Below are 23474 nucleotides of genomic sequence, written 5' to 3'. Positions count from 1 at the left end.
AATAGTTTCAGAAGGAATGGTACCAGCTCCTCTTTGTACCTCTGGTAGAATTCAGCTGTGAATCCGCCTGGTCCTGGACTTTTTTTGGTTGGTAAGCTATTAATTACTGCTTCAATTTCAGAACTTGTTATTGGTCTACTCAGGGATTCAACTTCTTCCTGGTTTAGTCTTGAGAGGGTGTATGTGTCCAGGAATTTATCCACTTCTTCTAGATTTTCTAGTTTATTTGTGTAGAGGTGTTTATCATATTCTCTGATGTTAGTTTGTATTTCTGTGGAATCAGTGGTGATATCCCCTTTATCATTTTTTATTGTGTCTATTTGATTGTCCTCTCTTTTCTTCTTTATTAGTCTGGACAGTGTCCATCAATTTTGTTGATCATTTCAAAAAACCAGCTCCTGGATTCATTGATTTTTTGAAGGGATTTTTGTGTCTCTATCTCCTTCAGTTCTGCTCTAATCTTAGTTATTTCTTGTCTTCTGCTAGCTTTTGCATTTGTTTACTCCTGCTTCTCTAGTTCTTTTAATTGTGATGTTAGGCTGTCCGATTTAGATCTTTCCTGCTTTCTCTCGTGGGCATTTAGTGCTATAAATTTCCCACTACACACAGCTTTATGTGTGTCCCAGAGATTCTGGTACATTGTAACTTGTTCTCACTGGTTTCAAAGAACATCTTTGTTTCTGCCTTAATTTTGTTATTTACCCAGTAGTCATTCATGGCAGGTTGTTCAGTTTCCATGTAGTTGTGTGGTTTTGAGTGAGCTTCTTAATCCTGAGTTCTAATTTGATTGCACTGTGGTCTGAGAGACTGTTATGATTTCCATTCTTTTGCATTTGCTGACGAGTGTTTTCCAATTATGTGGTCAATTTTAGAATAAGTGCAATGTGGTGCTGAGAAGAATGTATATTCTGTTAATTTGGGGTGGAGAGTTCTCTAGATGTCAATTAGGTCCGCTTGGTCCAGAGCTGAGTTCAAGTCGTGGATATCCTTGTTAATTTTGTCTCGTTGATCTGTCTAATGTTGACAGTGGGGTGTTAAAGTCTTCCACTATTATTGTGTGGGAGTCTAAGTCTCTTTTTAGGTCTCTAAGAACTTGCTTTACAAATCTGGGTGCTTCTGTATTGGGCACATATATATTTAGGATATTTAGCTCCTCTTGTTGCATTGATCCCTTTACCATTATGTAATGCCCTTCTTTGTCTTTTTTGATCTTTGTTGGTTTAATATCTGGGTTTTTTCAGAGAATAGGATTGCAACCTCTGCTTTTTTGCTTTCCATTTGCTTGTTAAATATTCTTCCATCTCTTATTTTAGAGCCTATGTGTGATTTGCAAGTGAGATGGGTCTTCTGAATACAGCACACTGATGGGTCTTGACTCTTTATCCAATTTGCCAGTCTGTGTCTTTTAACTGGGGCACTCAGTCCATTCACATTTAAGGTTAATATTGTTATGTGTGAAGTCGATCCTGTCATATGATGCTAGCTAGTTATTTTGCCTGTTAGTTGATGCAGTTTCTTCATAGTGTCAATAGTCTTTACAATTTGGTGGGGTTTTTTTAATTTTTTTATTTTTATTTTTTATTTTTTTATTATACTTTAAGTTTTAGGATACATGTGCACAATGTGCAGATTAGTTACATATGTATACATGTGCCATGCTGGTGCGCTGCACCCACTAACTCGTCATCTAGCATTAGGTATATCTCCCAATGCTATCCCTCCCCACTCCCCCAACCCCACAACAGTCCCCAGAGTGTGATGTTCCCCTTCCTGTGTCCATGTGTTCTCATTGTTCAATTCCCACCTATGAGTGAGAATATGCAGTTTTTGGTTTTTTGTTCTTGCGATAGTTTACTGAGAATGATGATTTCCAATTTCATCCATGTCCCTACAAAGGACATGAACTCATAATTTTTTATGGCTGCATAGTATTCCATGGTGTATATGTGCCACATTTTCTTAATCCAGTCTATCATTGTTGGACATTTGGGTTGGTTTCCAAGTCTTTGCTATTGTGAATAGTGCCGCAATAAACATACGTGTGCATGTGTCTTTATAGCAGCATGATTTATAGTCCTTTGGGTATATACCCAGTAATGGGATGGCTGGGTCAAATGGTATTTCTAGTTCTAGATCCCTGAGGAATCGCCACACTGACTTCCACAGTGGTTGAACTAGTTTACAGTGCCATCAACAGTGTAAAAGTGTTCCTATTTGTCCACATCCTCTCCAGCACCTGTTGTTTCCTGACTTTTTAATGATTGCCATTCTAACTTGTGTGAGATGGTATCTCATTGTGGTTTTGATTTGCATTTCTCTGATGGCCAGTGATGGCGAGCATTTTTTCATGTGTTTTTTGGCTGCATAAATGTCTTCTTTTGAGAAGTGTCTGTTCATGTCGTTCGCCCACTTTTTGATGGGGTTGTTTGTTTTTTTCTTGTAAATTTGTTTGAGTTCATTGTAGATTCTAGTTATTAGCCCTTTGTCAGATGAGTAGGTTGCAAAAATTTTCTCCCATTTTGTGGGTTGCCTGTTCACTCTGATGGTAGTTTCTTTTGCTGTGCAGGAACTCTTTAGTTTAATTAGATCCCATTTGTCAATTTTGTCTTTTGTTGCCATTGCTTTTGGTGTTTTAGACATGAAGTCCTTGCCCATGCCTGTGTCCTGAATGGTAATGCCTAGGTTTCCTTCTACGGTTTTTATGGTTTTAGGTCTAACGTTTAAGTCTTTAATCCATCTTGAATTAATTTTTGTATAAGGTATAAGGAAGGGATCCAGTTTCAGCTTTTTACATATGGCTAGCCAGTTTTCCCAGCACCATTTATTAAATACGGAATCCTTTCCCATTGCTTGTTTTTCTCAGGTTTGTCAAAGATCAGATAGTTGTAGATATGTAGTGTTATTTCTGAGGGCTCTGTTCTGTTCCATTGATCTATATCTCTGTTTTGGTACCAGTACCATGCTGTTTTGGTTACTGTAGCCTTGTAGTGTAGTTTGAAGTCAGGTAGAGTGTTGCCTCCAGCTTTGTTCTTTTGGCTTGGGATTGACTTGGCGATGCAGGCTCTTTTTTGGTTCCATATGAACTTTAAAGTAGTTTTTTCCAATTCTGTGAAGAAAGTCATTGGTAGCTTGATGGGGATGGCATTGAATCTGTAAATTACCTTGGGCAGTATGGCCATTTTCACGATATTGATTCTTCCTACCCATGAGCATGGAATGTTCTTCCATTTGTTTGTATCCTCTTTTGTTTCATTGAGCAGTGGTTTGTAGTTCTTCTTGAAGAGGTCCTTCACATCCCTTGTAAGGTGGATTCCTAGGTATTTTATTCTCTTTGAAGCAATTGTGAATGGGAGTTCACTCATGATTTGGCTCTCTGTTTGTCTGTTATTGGTGTATAAGAATGCTTGTGATTTTTGTACCTTGATTTTGTATCCTGAGACTTTGCTGAAGTTGCTTATCAGCTTAAGGAGATTTTGGGCTGAGATGATGGGGTTTTCTAGATGTACAATCATGTACATCTGCAAACAGGGACAATTTGACTTCCTCTTTTCCTAATTGAATACCCTTTATTTCCTTCTCCTGCCTAATTGCCCTGCCAGAACTTCCAACACTATGTTGAATAGGAGTGGTGAGAGAGGGCATCCCTGTCTTGCCTTTGACAAAATTCAACAACCCTTCATGCTAAAAACTCTCAATAAATTAGGTATTGATGGGACGTATCTCAAAATAATAAGAGCTATCTATGACAAACCCACAGCCAATACCATACTGAATGGGCAAAAACTGGAAGCATTCCCTTTGAAAACTGGCACAATTTGGTGTTTTTTTCCAGTGGCTGGTACCGGTTGTTCCTTTCCATGTTTAGTGCTTCCTTCAGGAGCTCTTGTAAGGCAGGCCTGGTGGTGACAGAATCTCTCAGCATTTGCTTGTCTGTAAAGGATTTTATTTCTCTTTTGCTTATGAAGCTTAGTTTGGCTGGATATGAAATTCTGGGTTGAAAATTCTTCTCTTTAAGAATATTGAATATTGGCCCCCACCCTCTTCTGGCTTGTAGTGTTTCTGCCGAGAGATTCACTGTTAGTCTGATGGGCTTCCCTTTGTGTGTAACCCGACCTTTCTCTCTGGCTGCCCTTAACATTTTTTCCTTCATTTCAACCTTGGTGAATCTGACAATTATGTCTTGGGGTTGCTCTTCTCAAGGAGTATCTTTATGGTGTTCTCTGTATTTCCTGAATTGGAATGTTGGCCTGTCTTGCTAGGTTGGGGAAGTTCTCCTGGAAAATATCCTGAAGAGTGTTTTCCAACTAGGTTCCATTCTCCCCGTAACTTTCAGGTACACCAATCAAACACACATTTGGTCTTTTCACATAGTCCCATATTTCTTGGAGGCTTTTTTCATTTCTTTTCATTCTTTTTTCACTAATCTTGTCTTCTTGCTTTATTTCATTGAGTTGATCTTCAGTCTCTGATATCTGTTCTTCTGCTTGATTGATTCGGCTGTTGATACTTTATATGCTTCACGAAATTCTCGTGCTGTGTTTTTCAGCTTCATCAGGTTATATGTGTTCTTCTCTGAACTGGTTATTCTACTTAGCAATTTGCCTAACCTTTTTTCAGGGTTCTTAGCTTCCTTGCATTTCATTAGAACATGCTCCTTTAGCTCAGAGGAGTTTTGTTATTACCCACCTTCTGAAGCCTACTTCTGTCCATTTGTCAAACTCATTCTACGTTCAGTTTTGTTCCCTTGCTGGTGAGGAGTTGTGATCCTTTGGAGAAGAGGCATTCTGGTTTTTGGAATTTTTAGCCTTTTTGTGCTGGTTTCTCCCCATCTTCATGGATTTATCTACCTTTGGTCTCTGATGTTAGTGACCTTGGCATGGGGTCTCCTGGTGGACGTCCTTTTTGTTGATGTTGATGCTATTCCTTTCTTTTTGTTAGTTTTCCTTCTAACAGCCAGGCCCCTCTGCTGCAGGTCTACTGGAGTTTGTTGGAGGTCCACTCCAGACCTTTTTTGCCTGGGTATCACCAGCGGAGGCTGCAGAACAGAAAAGATTGCTGCCTGTTCCTTTCTCTAGAAACTTTGTCCCAGAGGGGCACCCGCCAGATGCCAGCCAGAGCACTCCTGTATGAGGTGTCTGTCAGCCCCCACTTGGAGGTGTCTTCCAGTCAGGATAAATGGGGTCAGGGACTCACTTGAGGAGGGAGTCTGACCCTTAGCAGAGCTCAAATGCTGTGCTGGGAGATCCGCTGCTCTCTTAAGAGCCATTAGGTAGGGACGTTTAAGTCTGCTGAAGCTGAACCCACAGTTGCCCCTTTCCCTAGGTTCTCTGTCCCAGGGAGATGGGGGTTTTATCTATAAGTCCCTGACTGGAGCTGCCGCCTTTTTTTCGGTGATGCCCTGCCCAGAGAGGAGGAATCTAGAGAGGCAGTGTGGCCCCAGCAGCCTTGCTGAGCTGCGGTGGGCTCCACCCAGTTCGAACTTCCCAGCATCTTTGTTTACACTGTGAGTGTAAAACCACCTACTCAAGCCTCAGCAATGGTGGACGCCCCTCACCCCACCAAGCTCTAGCATCCCAGGTCCACCTCAGACTGCTGTGCTGGCAGCAAGAATTTCAAGCCAGTGGATCTTAGCTTGCTGGGTTCTGTGCGGGTGGGACCTGCCAAGGCAGACCACTTTGCTCCCTGGCTTCAAGCCCCCTTTCCAGGGGAGTGAGTGGTTCTGGCTCGCTGGCATTGCAGGTGCCCCTGGGGTATGAATAAAAAACTCCTGCAGCTAACTTGGTGTCTGCCCAAGTGACCACCCAGTTTTGTACTTGAAATCCAGGGCCCTGGTGGTGTAGGCACTGGAGGGAATCTCCTTGTCTGTGGGTTGTGAAGACCATGGGAAAAGCGCAGTATCTGGGCCAGAGTGCACCGTTCCTCACAGTACAGTTCCTCCCGGCTTCCCTTGGGTAGGGGAGGGAACTCCCCCGACCCCTTCTGCTTCTTGGGTGAGGCAACACCCCACCCTGCTTCTGCTTACCCTCTGTGGGCTGCACCCACTGTCTAACCAGTCCCAGGGAGATGAACCAGGTACCTCAGTTGGAAATGCTGAAATCACCCACCTTCTGCGTCAGTCTTGCTGGGAGCTGCATACCAGTGCTATTCCTATTTGGCCATCTTGCCAGTAAGCTGCCACGATGACTGGATTCTTTATGCCAAATATACATAATAGGTCTTTTCACATTTTATTTTAAAATCTTGTCATGTGATCAATTGGTTTTACTCATATACTAATAATACATCCTAAATGTCAGATAGAAACACTTAGGGCTAGTTTTAAGACGTTCTCTTGGATCCCACTTGATATGATTTTATTACTGAAATGTAAAAAGAAAACAACTCTCATCATAAGACACCATCATTACTTAACCCAAGAACAAACTGACTCTACTAGATTTAGATGGCATCTTTAAAGTCCCTTCTGTTGCCTACATATCAGGTCAGAGTTTATTTTCTTTGAATGACAGAAGCAATGAATTTTTGAAAAACAAAACTAAAAACTAAACTATCACGACCTGTAAATGGCATTCAGTAAGTCCCAGGTTCCCTATTAATTGCTTGGCTAACTCCTCCTCTGGGTTCCTGCTTAGATATCACTTCCCTAGGAAAGCTTGCTTGAGCCCCCAGCCTGGTTAAATGCCTCTGCCATGACTCATACAGACCCACTCTACCCCTCCTAGCACACTGCTTATCCATACTATTGCAATTGCCAGCTTTCTGGTCTGTATTTCCCTAAAGTCTTTAAACCCTGTGAGGTGAGGGTCATCATTATTCACAGCTATTTTATGAGCACCTAAGATAGTGCCTAGCACATGCAAGGTATTGAGTAAATGTTTATTGGGTAAGTGAATAAACAAATGCATATAATGTATATAAAGGTATCTCTGATTAGGAAGCTCTGTCATTTTTTTTTCTTTTTAAGAATAACTACAGTTAGGCCAGGCGCGGTGGCTCATGCTTGTAATCCCAGCACTTTGGGAGGCTGAGGCAGGTGGATCACGAGGTCAGGAGATCGAGACCATCCTGGCTAACATGGTGAAACCCCGTCTCCACTAAAAATATAAAAAGTTAGCCGAATGTGGTAGCAGGCGCCTGTAGTCCCAGCTACTCGGGAGGCTGAGGCAGGAGAATGGCATGAACCCGGGAGGTGGAGGTTGCAGTGAGCCGAGATCACACCGCTGCACTCCAGCCTGGGCGACAGAGCGAGACTCTGTCTCAAAAAAAAAAAAAAAAAAGAATAAGTACAGTTAAGCTGAGCTCGAATTTCCAATATGGGGTTTCCCTATGAATGGGAAAGAGTCTAATCTATAAATCATCATCCGAAAGCTAAGGCTCAAGTTATCTGACTTAACATTCACGCTGTTTTTGCAAAACAGAAAACCACATTTTCATAATGTATAATGCAGTGTCTGTGGCTCTGATTGAGAGGAAGGGGGACTTGAGAAAGGGGATGGGGCGAGGAAGAAGAGGGGCTAAGGTTTAGTCAGCTATAGCCAGGAGAAGAGTGGAGGAGGCTGACCCACAGTGTCAAGGGATGAACAAAGGGGAACTTAGTCCTTATTTAAGATGAAGGTGGGGCTGTGGTTGAGAGGTAAGGGACCCCTCAAACTATATGGACAAGGAGAGGCAGGGAAGCAAGGATGCTCCAAAGCAACAAGTAAAGGGAATAGACAGAAAAAGAGTGGAATTCAAAGTAAACAGGCAGTGATGGAGACAGTAGACAGTAAAGAAGTGGAGCCTGGAGAAAATCTCAAATGCGCTGGGAAGACCCAACCAGCCCACCCAATTCATACACTTCCCTAGAAGGCTGGTCTTCAGGAGATATTTAACTTTGTCAGTCTCTTTGGGGAATTCTCAGTGTTTTTCACTGAGGGGGCAAGAATCCTCTTGTGCTTTTTACTAGGGGAGCATGTACATCACAAAGTTCAAACATTCACAACTTTGATTGTAACCCAAGGGGGCAGTTAATCATCACAGTTTAATATATAAACCTTGTAGCACATTTGACATCAAACTAGCCAATGCTCAAGGGTCAATTTCCCCTTCATAATTCTGGAAAATTATACCCTTACTACCACGCTAAGATGGTATATGTTATGAGAATTCTGTTGGTTGATATTCTCTAAGTGGATCAAGAAAAATACTATTAAAATAAGAGAATAGGTATGAAGTTTCAAGTTTGAGAAGCTGAAAAAGTTCTGGAGATGGATGTTGGTAATGGTTGAACAACCATATGAATGTACTTAATTCAACTGGACTTTACACTTAAAAGAGTTAAAATGATAAATTTTAAGTTATGTACAGTTTGTCACTATAAAAACATAAGAGAATAGCAGTAAGAGCTTGATATAAAGAAATGGTAGTTATTTTCCAATTTTAAATGTAGAAAATCAAGAGACACATGACAAAAGAAATATCTAGGGTCAGGTGCTCAGTTAGTAGTAGTTAAACCAGCTACTGAGCCCTAGGAATCCTAATATTTGGTATAAGGTTCTTTTCAGGCAAAGCTCCAGATCTAACCCTCTATCCCATCTATATGCACAGCTGAGGTTCTAAAAGCCTCATAATATTGTTTTGTAAAGAGGATCAATTTCACATTGGGTGCCATGGATTTTAAAAACTATATCCTTTGGTAAAAGCCAGTACATAAGTTTAATTTATCACATAACCTACTGAAATTTCTCTTAAAAATACACTCCTTAAAGCAGTAGTTGACAATGAAGATTATGAGCAGTATTTTTTTTCAAAGAAAATGTCAGAAAAGCTCCAAATCTAACCCTCTATCCCATCTATATGCAGAACTGAAGTTCTAAAAACCTCAATATTGTTTTGTAAAGATGATCAATTTTACATTGTGTGCCATGGATTTTTAAAACTATGTCCTTTGGCAAAAGCCAGTACATAAGTTTAATTGATCACATAACCTATTGAAATTTCTCTTGGAAAATACACTCCTTAAAGCAGCAGTTAACAATGAAGAAATGAAGTGAGCAGTTAAAAAAAAAAAAAGGAAAATGTTTGTTTCTTGTTCTTTCAGGGATTCTCACTTAGATCTTTTGCTCCAGGGAAGGTTCCAAATGCATTGATATTTCCTGGAAATGTCTTGCCCTGTGCCTAGGAATAATTCTGAGAAACCCTTTCTTAGTGAAATGTTCTCAATTGTCATGGCGATGCTTAGGAAAGACACATTTTAAAGGAGGTGAGAGTGAAGAATCATATTGGTTTCACAAAGTTTAGGATTTTAACTTGTACTTAGCTGGAAAGACAGCCCTACCTGGTATTAAGTCACAAGGTCCTCATAAAATTTTAAAAGTTTAGACTGAAATTTTCATAGAATTTCTTGTCCTACTTTCTTATTTGATGGATGAGAACACTCAAATCTCAAAAGCTTCAGTGAAATTTTCATAGAATTTCTGGTCCCACCCTCTTATTTTATGGACGAGAACACTTAAATCTAAAAAGTTTAAGTGACATCCCAAGGTCACACAGCTTTCTCCCTACATGTTGTCTTACAAACCCCTCATATGCACTTGTTTAGAGCAGGAACCAAGCTATCTTCATGGCTGATCTACCACCCAGAAGTCATTATGGGGAGCTGTCTAGTTTGAAATCCCATACCCACCACTCCCTGTTGCCCCATCAGAGAGAGATCTAGAGCTCATCTGCCATTTCCCTCTACTGTGACAGCTGGGCCCTTCATTAAAAACAGTTGCCTGAGGGAGAATGGTCACATGCACACACACCTCCTTTTAAGTCTTTTTACTTCCAATTCTTTTTCAACTTGTTCTTAGTTATTAAAAATTCTGTCATTTGTTCATCCTTTTTGTCTGTTTCTTATTCTTTGGGAAATAACAACTTTACTCATGAAACCTCACCATGTATCAGCTTAAAGAAATATTTGTCATTGTTGATAACGAAAGATTGATGCTAATGGGTTACCTGTACTGAAGAAGTCTGTTCTAGGATTTAAGGGAAATTAAACAGAATAAATATCCAGGGCACCAACACTGAGAGTTTTTGGAAATACACAGAAATTTCCCTGAAGATCCCCTCCAGTAATTACCAACAACTTTTTCTTCCTCCTTAAATGAAATCTGCTTTTCCTCAATCACTAACTCTCAAAATAAATATGAAACCATTTTTATTCAATATTTTCTTGTTTTACTTAATGACTGATTTTATTTTATGTGTTTCCCCACTGCAAATGTACAGTATTTTAGCAATAATGGGATGTTAGCACCAATCTGCAGCCAAACCACAGTTTATAACTTGTTTATGTGGGGAAATGCATTTAGATCTGGAAAAACTCCAGTTTATAAGTCAGAAACTGCCTATGGTATATGCCCTGAGTTTAAGTAAAATTCAGTCAGTAAATATTTTTTGAGAGCCTTCTAGGTGAAAAGGCACCAGTCCAGGGGTTATAATGTTCTGCAAATAAAATACATAATAACACAAACATACATTACATCATCTACTCCTTACAACAACTTTACTAGGTAGATGTTACTTTCCTCCTTGCCAATAAAGAAACTGAGGCTTGGAGAGGAAAGATAACTTGCTCAAGAGCACAATCCTAGTGGGAGACAGAGCTGTCTTTCTCTTCCAGGTCACCTGACTCCCAAGTCTGGGCTCTTTCAGCTGTGCTGTGGTGCAATAATTATGCTCTAATGAGACTATGCAGGAAGTCAAGCTGTATTTTCAAAAGTCTTTGGAAGCTATGTATCAGAAGCTTCTGGGAAAAATAGAAATTTGTGCTGAATCTCAGGTAGAAAAATGTTTGCTCGGACTATTGCTGCCTTAGAAATACCTCTTAGAGAATGCTATCCCAAGTTACTAAGAAACTGAAAAGCCTATCGTTGGAACAACTGGGACTCCAGGAGGATAGGGTGACTGACGTTTTTGACTGAGTGACCCATTGTTGGGGGAGGACAGGGGACATAGGAGCACAGACCGCCATCTCCTCAGGGGAGTGTATGACAGGCTCTCCTTTTGCCATCAGTAAGACTTCTCCTTTATCAATAACAAATTTCAGATATTTCACTTTGATCTAAACCCCTGATGGAGTCAGACACACAATAAATTATATAAATGCTCTAGTAAGATTTGCTTAAAAGCCTTGAGAGCTAAATCTGTTCCATGCACCTGCTAATCAGACCAACTCAGCATGTTTATTAATGGTCTCCATCCAGAAGGAGGAAACTCAGACAGCTTCCCAAGATAGTAAGCAGTTGTTCTCAACTCTCCCATAAGACAGAGAAGCAGGGACTCCAAAACAACCCAGCTCCTGCTGCCCAGATCTTAAATATGATAGCTCCTTAGAGTTAATGGCATGCAGTGCTCATGAAAGATCTAAAAGTTACCATCAGTACGTCTCTATCCCATGCTCACGTCTCAAAGATGCAAATGTGAGGCAGCTCTTGATGCATCTGGAGTTTATTGACTTTCCTGCTAATTACCCAATTTCTCAAGTATTTGTTGAATATTTAGTGTGTGCCCAACATTCTTTCATGGAGGCATAAGAGATTCAAAATTGGTCCTTGTCCTTAATTATGGTATTGCTACTCTTGTTCATTTATTCATTTAGTCACTTAAATATTTCTTGAGCATGCGTAGTTGGAGATGATAAGACATATGCACATTAAAGTTACTGAACACAGTAGAGCATAATTAGATGTTATCTTTAATTTCTCCCCAAGGGTCAGTGAGCTCAACAAATGCTTATGAAAAGCCACTAAGTGCCAATACTGGAGATACAGAAATAGCTAAGACAGAGCCCTGACTATTAAGAAGCTGACAGCCAGGAAGAAAAATAAATAAACCAGAAATTACAGTAGAATATGGTGTGGTTAGGTTAAGTGCAGTGTGCACAGAAGAGGGAAAATGGTCAAGGAATGCCGCTATAGGTAAGTGACACTTGAACTGAGACTTGAAGCTTGAATATGAATTCATAGAATGTTGGCCCAACTGCTGGGTGGGGAGAAGCGGTCATCAACCAGGCTAGAGAAAAAGGCAGGCATGAGACTTGAGACTTGCTTGTAATAGCCTGGGAAGTTACAGCTCCCTCCTCTCTGACTGCCCCACTAATGCCAGCTCCTTCCCCAAACTTTTTTTTTTAGAGACGGGATCTCACTCTGTTGTCCAGGCTGGAGGGCAGTGGCACAATCATAGCTTACTGCAGCCTCCAACTTCTGGGCTCAAGTGATCTTCCTGCCTCAGTCTCCAAAGTTGCTGGGGTTATAGGTGTGAACCACTGCATCTGGCCTCAAACTTTGGTCTCTGCCTCCTCTACTCAGTGGTAGTAACTCAGACTCCAGCTTTCTGCACCACAGTGAGGACATTGTCACTGTGTCACTTGAGATATTGTCTCAAGGAAAAGCTGGAGATTATGAGGCTGACCTTGTAAGATCTTAGGGACTGCACTGTTGCACTGCACAGTGACCAACATCTGAGCTCAGTTGCCTCATATGCTTTGTCCAGTTTTATTTTGTTTACAGTGGGAGGGAGGCCAGGTTACTTCATCTAGCTGGAACTCTCCCATGTATCTTGACTAACTTCACTCGACTTTGATGTTATCTACCTTTCAGTTTCTCAAACCCCTGCCTCCATTCCTCTTCCTTCCACCTCCTTCACCTCTTCTCTACTGAAACTACTTTCATTAATCACCTGGGAGGTCCTTATTGCCATAGCCAATGGGCATTTCTTTCACTTTCAATCTCCTTGTCTTGTTGGCAGTCGTAGAAGTGATTAAATGGTAACTCTTTTTTTTGTTTTTTTTTTTTTAACTCTTCTCTTAGATTCTCTCAGCTCTATGACTCTGCTTTTGCCTTTGACAACTGTACCATATCGTTTGCTGGCCTCAACTTCTTCCATCCCTTGATAACAGCATTTCCCAGGACTGTTCCCCGGGGTGTTCATCCTGGACCTGCTGGGCATCTTCTCTATACTCACAGCTTTAGAGAGTTTATTTCTTACCCTGCCTTCCATTGTCTCTTACATGGGAATACACCCAACTTCATATGACCAATCCTGTCTTCTTCACCCATACCCTTGTTAGATTTATCTAGCTGCCTAGCAGGGATTTGTACCTTGATATCCCCCCTCAAAACAGATCTGGCTTCTGTCTCCTTTTAAACTTTATTTCCTTCTCTCCTTTATCTACTGCACTCTATCTACACTACACCAACCTGCATTTAGTTCCTATAACACACCAAACTCTCCCCACCACAGGGTCTTTGCATGTGCAGTTCCTGCTTCCTGAATCTCCCTTTCCTCTGTTTATGCCTCAGCCTTTAAGTCCCAGTTTGCCCATAATCTCCTCAGAGAAGCATCCCTGCACAACCTTATGTAACTAGACACCACTCTGCTATTCCCAATCACTACCCACTCTTGCGTTCTTCACAGAACTTAGAAGTTGTCATTATTGGCTGATGTATTTGCTTACACATGCTCTATCCATATGTTTATGTGTTTGTTCACTTACTTTAAGCTTCCAAGGACTGAAACCATGTCTGTTTTATCAATTCGGGTCTGCATGGTACCTATCACAGTTCCTGGCACATAGGAGATACTCAGTAAATACATTCAGTAAATATTTGTCAGATGCATGAGTGAGATCATCACCAGACTCACTCCCTTTCTTCTCTACAGGAGGATCTTCCACCCCAGGTTTTCTGTGCCAGGCATTGATGTTGGAGACACAAGCACATAAAGCATGGTCTTCCATGCTCCTACAACATTTCATTGGTATATTAATAAGGAAAAATAAAATTGTGAGACAAAGTGAATCCTGAGCTGAGAGAAACCGAAGGGTTAGATTCTGTGGTTATAGAGTTTTTAAAGTTGAAAAACCGAAGTTTGTCTTACAGCCCAAATTGAACCTCATTAAGGCTCAGCTTCACCATTATTGAGTCCAGATGGTACAGTTGCCTTCACAGACCCCGCGCAGTCAGCAGGCTGTTTTCCTGCTGGTCTTGACCAGTTTCCCAAGAAGTGGTTGCCCTATAAGTGTTGTTCTTACTTCTGGGCTCTTCCAGTTTCTCACACCCTCCAGGCTCAGGGTCCTACAGATTCTCACTTTTATTAATCCCAGGATTTGTCATTATATTAGCACATTTCATATTGGGTTATAATTTACCTGTTTTTCAGTCTCTTTTCCCTAATATAGCGTGAACTGAGGCAGAAACTTAGTCTTCACCCTCTTTGTAGTCCATAAGGTCTAGTTCAATGTCTGGAACATAGAGACTCCTCAATAAATCCTTATGAATGAATGAATAAGAGTTGCCAAAACTCCTCTAGCCAAAACAAATAGTGACAAGGAAAATTATCCTCTGGACTATAGATGTGTGGGTCAAAGTTTCCCTAGAGTTTTTCTCTGATACTGGATAACTTCTATCCTCACATAGCAGCTCCTTTCTATAGTCCTGGAGGCTGGGAGCATGTGGCAGCCAGTTTCCTGGAGGCTAGGAACACATGGCAGCCAGTCATCCACGAAATAGCCAGCAAGGGCCTAATGTGGGGAAGCGGAGGGGCAAGGATGGCAAAAGGAGATGGATTCAAGGAATGTTTAGAAGGTAATGCCAGCAGCATTTTTACCTTATTCCAAAGCCTGTGTAGTAAATTTAAGCCATCTTCCGGACAGTGTGAACATCAGAAGGATTATCTTTCACTCCATCAGATAAATTTAGGATTTCGAGAGGAGAGCATGCATAACAAACTGCAAGAGCTGCCTCTACAAGAAACATTTTAAATATTCTATGCTCAACTGTCAGCAACAGCACATTAAGCATTCTAATACTTGCATAGCTCCCATAATTCGCCTCACATGGGTGAATATGGTACTCCTGGGAGGTGACTTACACTCTTTTGCTTACCAAAGGAACAGAACAAATACTTTAATATCATTTTTTCCTTATCTCTGGCTAAGAAATGATCCTTATGGTGAGGATTGTGATTAAACATTTGCAACAATCATGGAAGCAGAGAGGTGATAAACATGCCAAACCAGTTTCCCTGAACTCAGGGTAGCAAGATTTCCAGGAGCTTAATGAGAGCTTCACATTTTCTTCTATTAAATTACAAAAACATGCCTGATTTTTATAAATCTTTTGCACTGTGAATAAAAGATCATTTTTTTCTAATAAAACTACGCTGAATTATCTGAATCTGCCATATGCCATCTTTTCTCCCATCCATCCATCCATCGATCCATCCATGCATCCATCTGCATACATGTCTGTCCCTACCTCCCGCATAACAGATTTGGGATGGTTTATCGACTCCTTAAATTAACACAATTTCTGTGTTTTCAAAATCTCTGCATAGAAAAGTGTTTCCCTGATCTTTGCATTTGTGTCCTGTCTATACTTCCTGCATGCGCTTTCTCATCTCCCACTTGTTTCTCAATAAAGGCCAGTCTGGCTTTTGCCCCTGCTACTCCACCAACAGTGCTCTTTCCAAAGTCAACAATGACTGTCTTGTCACTAAGTCACATTTGTACCATGGCCACCTTCTCCCATTCTGTTCCTTTGATTTCTGTATTGTTATAATTTCCTGTTTCTCTCCCCCCGCCGCCCCCCCCCGGCCATCTTTTGGGCTGCTTTTCTTTTTTTAACAGGTTCATATCCTTTTAATTACTGGGTTTCTTGAGTCTCAGCCCTTGTTATCTGCAGTTCTCAGTCAACATTTTCCTTCTGGGTGATCTCATCCCCTCCTGTATGAGTTTGCTAGGGCTGCTGTAACAAAGTTCCACAAACATGGTGGCTGAAACAACAGAAATGTATTGTCTCACAGTTCTGAAGGCTGGAAGTCCAAGGTCAAGGTATCCACAGGGTTGCTTTCTTCTGAGGCCTGTGGGAGGCAGTCTGTTCCACCACCTCCCCCATAGCTTCTAGTGATTTTTTGGCAATCTTTGGCATTCCTTGGCTGATAAAAGCATCCATTCTTTCTCTGGCTTCATCTTTACATGGTGTTCTCCCCATGAGTGTGTGTGCCCAAGTTTTCCCTTTTTAGAAGGACACTGGTCATATGGAATTAAGGGCTACCTTAATGACCTCATTTTAATTTGATCACCTCTGTAAAGGTGTTATCTCTAAATAAGGTCACATGCTCAGGTACTGAGGGTTAGAACTTCAATATGTGAATTTGACGGAGGGGAGGGAGAGTGGGACGCAATTCAACATATAACCCCTCCCATAGCTTCAGTGACTTTTCCATACACTGATGACTCTCAAATCTGTTTCCAGCCCAAATCTGTCTTCTGAACTCTAGATCTGTGTGTCCAACTGCCCACTGACCATCTCTCCTTGGATGAGTTTCATGCACTTAAACTCACCACGTCTAAGACTGCATTCATTACCCTTCCCACAAACCAGGTCCTCCTTCTAGCTCTGTAAATGGTGTTTTATCAATTCAGTTGTCCACGACAGAAACTGATGCTTATTCTTGACCCCTCTTTCACCCTTATTTCTACACCCATGTTCAATTATTTACCAATTTATATCCATTCCATCTCTGCGATACTGTTCAGTCTACCTCTCTTCAACCTCACTGCTGCCACCTCTTCAAGGCCACTTTAATCTGTCCCCTAGACATCCAGTTTTCTCTTAACAAGTCATTCTACCTCAAGTTTTACTTCCTCTCAGTCCGTTCTCCACGTTACACAGTGATCTTCTAAAAACTCAAATCCGATGATTCCACTTCCCTACTTAAATCCTTTCAAATGGCAGTGAGTGTCTTGGAAGTGGGCATTGGCCGAGATTGGTGTTAGGCTTTGAACTGGACTTTGAAGGGACAGCAGGATTTAGGTAAGTGAGGAAGAGGCTTCTATGAGTGTGGAGCTGGGACTCATCATTGTGGGTTTAGGTCCAAAGACTGTTTCAGCCCATCTACCTGGCAGTTGTGGATACCCATAACAATTGTGAAAACAAACTGATGCTGGTTGTTTAGCTTATGTCCCCAGAGGCAGAAACTTGCGAATAGTTTCATTTAGATTGTGGCTTAAATCACAGCAGAGCTTCCTAAGCAGCTGTCTCTGCCAGTTCCTGACTGGTACTCCTCCCCTGGGTGACAAATATGTATATGCTAATAGCATTAGCTGTACCCTGGCATGCTCGTCTGCCCATTTATTTCTTTCTGCTAATGAACAAGGCATAAATATTTTGTGAACTGAGCCATAGGATTACAGTTTAAAAGCCCACTTCCCCAAAGAGAAGATACTTGTGGACCATTAGTACTGGCAAGGGGCTGTGCAGTGAATTGCCTTCCAGAGAAAAGGCTGGCTTGTCCACCCACTCGGCATTTAGCACTCTTTATAGAAATTGCTTGTATAATTGGCTTTTCCCCTGCTGGACCATAAAAAAATGAGGGCAAGCACCATGCCTTCTTGTTCTTCCCTGTGCTTAGCAGAGGGGCAGGCACTGCTAGGCACACAGTAGGCATCCATAACTTATTAATTAATTAGTCATCACAGAATTAGGCCAGTAGCCACAGGTTTCTTGATTTATTCTAAATTGAGTTTTGAACTATAATGGATTATGAGACTGCCTTATTAATGCGTTGTCAAATCTACCAATCAAGAAACTCACCAGGGCCATTTGGAAGAGAAGATTCCAGGAGAGCGTACCAGGGAGGAATTTGTAAGCAGAGGGTTTCTACAGTCCATAAAGGAGTATTTGCCAAACTTGGTAGAGTGGTTGACATTGCAAGAGGACAGTGGTGATGTCACAAGGTCCATAAGGATTTTAGTACTCTTTGTATACACTTGTATGTAGGTAAATAAGCTAGTTCAAGTTACAAGGAAACCAAGAATTTGGAGCAAAAGAAACAAAGGTTCAAATGAAGAAAAGTCACTGTGAAAGCTTAATAAAAGCAAACAGGGTGTTTCAGGGAAGCAAGCTCAACATATGAAAATCCAGAAATAGAAAACAAATTAAAATCAGTTGCTTATTTGAGTAAGATATTATTTCAAGCATAAGCACTCCCACTGCATCTAAAATATGAGTTTTAAAATGCCATTAAGTTATTTGTATGGGTTTTTGGAGAAATATATAAGTATTATAGAAAGCAAAGTAGTCTTGCAGTCTTAATGCCAGTATCTTGCCACCTAAAAGAAAGAGATGTTTATTCAAAGGTATGACATTTGGAACTTTGTTTAATACTCTGAGAATAGCTAAACTATAGACTTATATCAGGCCAAAAAGCACTTTTAGTTTTGTTTTCTTCATATAGCATAGACTTTTCTTTTTTCAACTTTCATTTTAGAATCAGGGGATACATGTGCAGGTTTGTTATAAAGGTATATAGCACGATGCTGAGGTTTGAAGAACAAATGAATCCGTCACCCAGGTAGTGAGCATAGTACCCAATAGGTAGTTTTTTCAACCTTATCACCCTCCCATCCTTCCCCCTCTTGTCTTCCCCAGTGTTTATCGTTCCCATTTTTATGACCATGTCTACACAATGTTTAGCTCCCACCTGCAAGTGAGAACATGTGGTATTTGGTTTTTGGTTTCTGCATTAGTTCGCTTAGGATAATGGTTTTCAGTTGTATCTGTGTTGTTGCAAGGGACGTGATTTCATTCTCTTTTGTGGCTGTATAATATTCCATGGTGTATCTGTACCACTTTTTTTTTTTTAAATCCAACCCACTACTGATGGGCACCTGGGTTGATTCTATGTCTTTACAATTGTAAATAGTGCTGCTATGAACATATGGATGCACATATCTTTTTGGTAGAACAATTTATTTTCTTTTGGGCATATACTCAGTAGTAGAATTGCTGGGTTGAATTCTAGTTTAACTCTCAGTTCTCTGAGAAATCTCCAAGTTGCTCTCTACAGTGATTGAACTGATTTGCATTCCCACCAACAGTATATAAGTATTTCATTTTTTCTGCAGCCTCACCAACATCTCTTATTTTTTGACTTTTTAACAAAAGCCATTCTGACTGATGTGAGACGGTATGTCACTGTGGTTTTGATTTGCATTTGTTGATGATTAGTGAAGATGAGGATTTTTTTCATGTATTTCTTGGCTGCTTGTATGTCTTCTTTTCAGAACTGTCTGTTCATATCCTTTCCTCATCTTTTATGAGGTTATTTGCTTTTTTCTTGTTGATTTGAGTTCCTTATAGATTCTGGATAATAGACCTTTGTCAGATACATAGTTTGTGGATATTTTCTCCAATTCTAAAGGTTGTCTGTTTACTCCCTTAATAGGTTTTCTTTCTATGCAGAAGCTCTTCAGTTTAATTAGGTCTTGTTTGTCAATTTTTGTTTTTTGTTTTCAATTGCTTTTGGGGACTTAGCCGTAACTTCTTTGCCTAGGCTGATATTGAGAAGGGTATTTCCTAGGTTTTCTTCTAGGATTTTTATAGTTTGAAGTCTTATATTTAACTGTTTGATCCATCTTGAGTTAATTTTTGTATATGGTGATAGGTATGGGTCCAGTTTCATTCTTTTGCATATGGATAGCCAGTTATTCTAGCACCATTTATTGAATAGGGATCCTTTCCCCCATTGCTTATTTTTGTCAATTTTGTGAAAGATCAGATGGTTGTAGATGTGCAGCTCTATTTCTGGGTTCTCTATTCTGTTCCATTGGTCTATATGTCTGTTTTTGTACCAGTACCATGCTGTTTTGTTTACTGTAGCCTTGTAGCATTAGTTTGGAGTCAGGTAATGTGATGCCTCTGGTTTTGTTCTTTTTGCTTAGGATTGCTTTAGCTATTTGGGCTCTTTTTTGGTTCCATATAAATTTTAGAATAGTTTTTTCCAATTCTGTGAAAAATGGCATTGATAGTTTGATAGCAATAGCATTGAATCTATAAATTGCTTTGGGCAATATGGCCACTTTAATGATATTGATTCTTCCAATCCATGAGCATGGGATGTTTTTCCATTCATTTGTGTCATCTATGATTTCTTTCAGCAGTGTTTTATAATTCTCCTTGTAGAGATCTTTCACCTCCTTGGTTAGCTATATTCCTGGAATACAGCATAGCATTTTCTTATCTATTTTGCTTCAATTTAGTTGGCTGATCTCTTTGAGAAATGTTCTAAAGTGAATCTTAAATTTCTTTTTGTTTTCTCGGGTTAAACTGAATTATTTCAGAACCATCAAGACTAGCCTTTTCACTGTATAGAAATGAATCTCCACTTGCTGTTGGCGTTATCACAGTGACCGGAGTGATACAGAAGAGAAGTGATGTTGGTGCATCTAAGAGATTCTCTCTACCCTCAGTTGGGAATCAACCAGCTCTCTTACACGAGAAAACTTGCCACCAGGTGCTCATCAGTGGTAACAGCCAGCTACACTGTCTTAAAGGTGCCTACCATTGGGCTTTTACAGGGAAGCTAGTGGGAAATCCAGAAAATTTTCCTAAATGCTCTCAAGAGGTCCCTCTCTGAGAACAAGGACTGTCACCCATAGAGATAGCTGTAATACAAAGGTAACTAGTGAGTGAAGACATCATAGAGAAGGGAAATAGATAAGGTGAGGAAGGGGCTACAGAGTTGGGTACATGGAAAGGTCCTGTAAAGTTGGTATCAAACAGGACTCTTGGTTGCAAGCCACTGAAATGCTACCCTAGGGCTGTTAAGCAAAATGAAGATTTACTGACTGGCTTTGGGAGGAGAGGGTCACCCAGCCTTGAAAAATGTGCAGGAATCAAGAGGCCTTCAGAGCCACAGCTGTAACAATCTGGCTGAGACGCTGCCATTTCCATCACTACCCAATATCCTGTTGTTGGGTAGTACCCACTGGTACTGTAGGGCTTTAACCATTGTGGCTTCCAGGAGATTCTAAGTCTGGATAGGAGCATCTGATGGGCTGAAACCAAGTCATACCTACACCTTATTGCCAAGAGCAAGCAGAATTATTTAGCTTCCTTCAGTTTCCATTGTAGGATGTAGGGCACTGTTTCCCATTAAGACTTATATAATGAGGGAGGGGGAACTCCCCCTAAATAGGAAGAGGGTTGGGTGCTGGGTAGCTAAACACAGGACAGAAGTCTAAGATAGCCATGTTAAATATATTTAAGGAGTTGATAACTGGGCTGAGATTTTTTTTAAAAAAATTGTTTGTTCTTTTGCAATGAAAAGCACTTTCTATTATCTGGGAAATTATTTAAAGATCAGGACTATCACACACAAAGACAACTTTAATGCAATTTTGTGGTATTTCTGCTGATCCATATCTAGAATCAGCAAAATAGATTTAAAAATGTTTCATAAGTATCTTAGGAATACTTCAAAATCCATTTCAGATTTCTATAAATGTTCAGCAGAAATCATCAAAGTTACTCCACAATCTAATTCTACAGATAACAGAGGTGTAAAGAGTAACAAGGCTGAGTAGACAGATTCTAGGTCTGGACAAGGTAAGAGGTAGCTGGAATTAGGAAAACAACTTTAGACTTAATAAGACATGGGTGTGTTTGGAGCCATAGTTAAGGGAGAGGGGTTATTCTTGGGCAGGACTGGGGGTTAAAGCTTGATGCTGGAGGGAGATACAGGGTCTGAAGGGATAGAAACAAGCAAGTGTTAAGGATAATATTTTATTCAGGGTAAGGGAAACAGAGAAAATATGTCTTGATCCCAACCACTTCTTTAGTATATGAATCCAGAACAGGTGCTTGACAAGTATAACAGTGGAGCTCCTCTGGCATTTGGAGACCCAGGGAAAGTGTCACTAGTTGCATTGCACAAGGTCATTACAGGGAAGAATGATTATAACTGGCTTACATACAAGGTATGATTATTGTGCATTGTTTATGTTCTTAACACCATTATTAATACTATTATTAATGTTCTTTCTACCATCATCATGTGAATGCTGAGATCCTAGCCAGAGAAAAGAAAGATTCTACTGCAATACAAATTTCAAAAGGAGACATTCCAGCTCCCCTTCAAGACTACATTTTGGATTAACAACTTCCAAATAGTTATCTTCCCCCTAGGTTCTCTCTGTAGTGAGTATCCTACCCTCTCTTGCCAATTTTGCCTTCCCGAAATTCTGCTTTCAAGCCACCATCTCTCTACAAAACACCTTAAACACCTTGTTTGCTCCCCACAATTAAAAGGGCAAAATCCACACTTTCCTGTGTTGGAAGCTGCCCTAGGCTCTCCTCCTATCCAAACCTTGCTTTGCTTTTTGATCTGTTTGAATCCATTGTCCTCTATGAAGCATTTTTTTTTTTTTTACCATCCAGGCTGAAATTAATCTCTCCACTTTCTGAACAATAATTATCCTTATTTTCTGTGCTATTGAATTGCTCACCTTAATGTATTTAAGCATTTGGGGAAATATATATTATCTTCCCAGCAAGATTGTAACCTTTTTGCCTACAGAAGGAGCTCAGTAAAACTGATTAGCTGAGATGGAAAAGCAGTGAGATACACTGGAGAGAATATGGGCTTTGGAATTGGACACACCTGAGTTTTCATCAATACTTAGGCTATTGGAAATTCTCTTTCCTCATCTGTAAAAAATGGGGATAGTAAAATACACCCACAAGTATTGTTGTGAGGTCTGGAGATAATATACACAAGGCTTTTTGTGCATAGTAGGTGCTAAATTAAATAGTAGGCATTTTTATTTTTACATTGTAAAAATAGGTAGCAGTGATCTAACCTTTGATTTCAAAGTTGATTACAAGTAGAGAAGATAAATTGTATTCTAGATAGATTACTACTATTTTAGGGATAAGATGTTTATAACAGAAATATAACCATTAGTACTCCTTTCTTTCAGATATAGATTTTAGATAAATACAAAATGAATTAGAAATTAAAAGCTTTTTCAAATACTACATGTTCTCTCTTATAAGTGGGAGCTAAATATTGGGTACTGATGGACATAAAGATGGCAGCAATAGACATTGGGGACTACTAGAGGGAGGAGGGGGGAAAGGGTTGAAAAACTTAATGTTGGGCACTATGATCAGTAGTGATGGGATCATTCATACCCAAAACCAGAATCAAGCAGTATACCCAGGTAACAAATATGCACATGTGTCCTCTGAATCTAAAATAAAAGTTGAAAAAAAATTAAAAGGTATTTTTCATGTTGTTTTAATATGCATGTAAAAGTACCTAAATAATTCAGATTTACATCCTCAAAATCTAGCTTTCAGATAATATACATATAATTATTATTTATAATAAGATAATAAGCAAGTCTTGAAAAAACTTTTAAAATATAAAATATATAAGGCATACAAAAATATAGATAATATGACCAACAGCCAAGTTATTTTAAAACATATTTATTTATTAAATGAATTAAGAGCTGTTAGAACTATAAGGAGTGAGTAATACCTGGTAAGTACGATGGAATTGTGCTGAGAAGTTATGGCTTTTAGAGAATAAATTGAAATGAAAAGTTTCTATTGCTTGTGCATTGACTATCCACCAAGCTGAACCTTTTCAGTAAC

The 23474-nt window shown here is 40.0% G+C and overlaps 1 protein-coding gene across 19 annotated transcripts in view; it reads left to right on the top strand.

Annotated features, from left to right (window-relative positions):
- SLC35F4 (solute carrier family 35 member F4) overlaps positions 1-23474 on the top strand; it is a 419262-nt gene that overhangs the window by 358774 nt on the left and 37014 nt on the right. For 4 of the 19 annotated variants that reach the window (XR_002957548.2, XR_007064010.1, XM_011536721.4 and 1 more), the window contains exons 1-3: positions 10752-11945; positions 20153-20365; positions 21887-22010. The exons of 12 other annotated variants lie outside the window; for them this stretch is intronic. Coding sequence is in view for 2 of the 7 variants with exons in the window: in XM_011536721.4 (XP_011535023.1) it covers positions 20246-20365; positions 21887-22010 (244 nt within the window). In the remaining 5 variants the exon portion in view is untranslated. Of the gene's footprint in view, positions 1-10751; positions 11946-20152; positions 20366-21879; positions 22011-23474 lie in introns of those variants that run through there. 3 more of the 19 variants (XR_943418.4, NR_159373.2, NM_001352014.2) reach the window with 3 other exon arrangements.

Source organism: Homo sapiens, chromosome 14 (assembly GCF_000001405.40).
Source record: "Homo sapiens chromosome 14, GRCh38.p14 Primary Assembly".
Classification (NCBI taxonomy): domain Eukaryota; kingdom Metazoa; phylum Chordata; class Mammalia; order Primates; family Hominidae; genus Homo; species Homo sapiens.
Note: the sequence above shows the minus strand (reverse complement) of the source record. Positions and strands in the feature narration are given on the sequence as shown.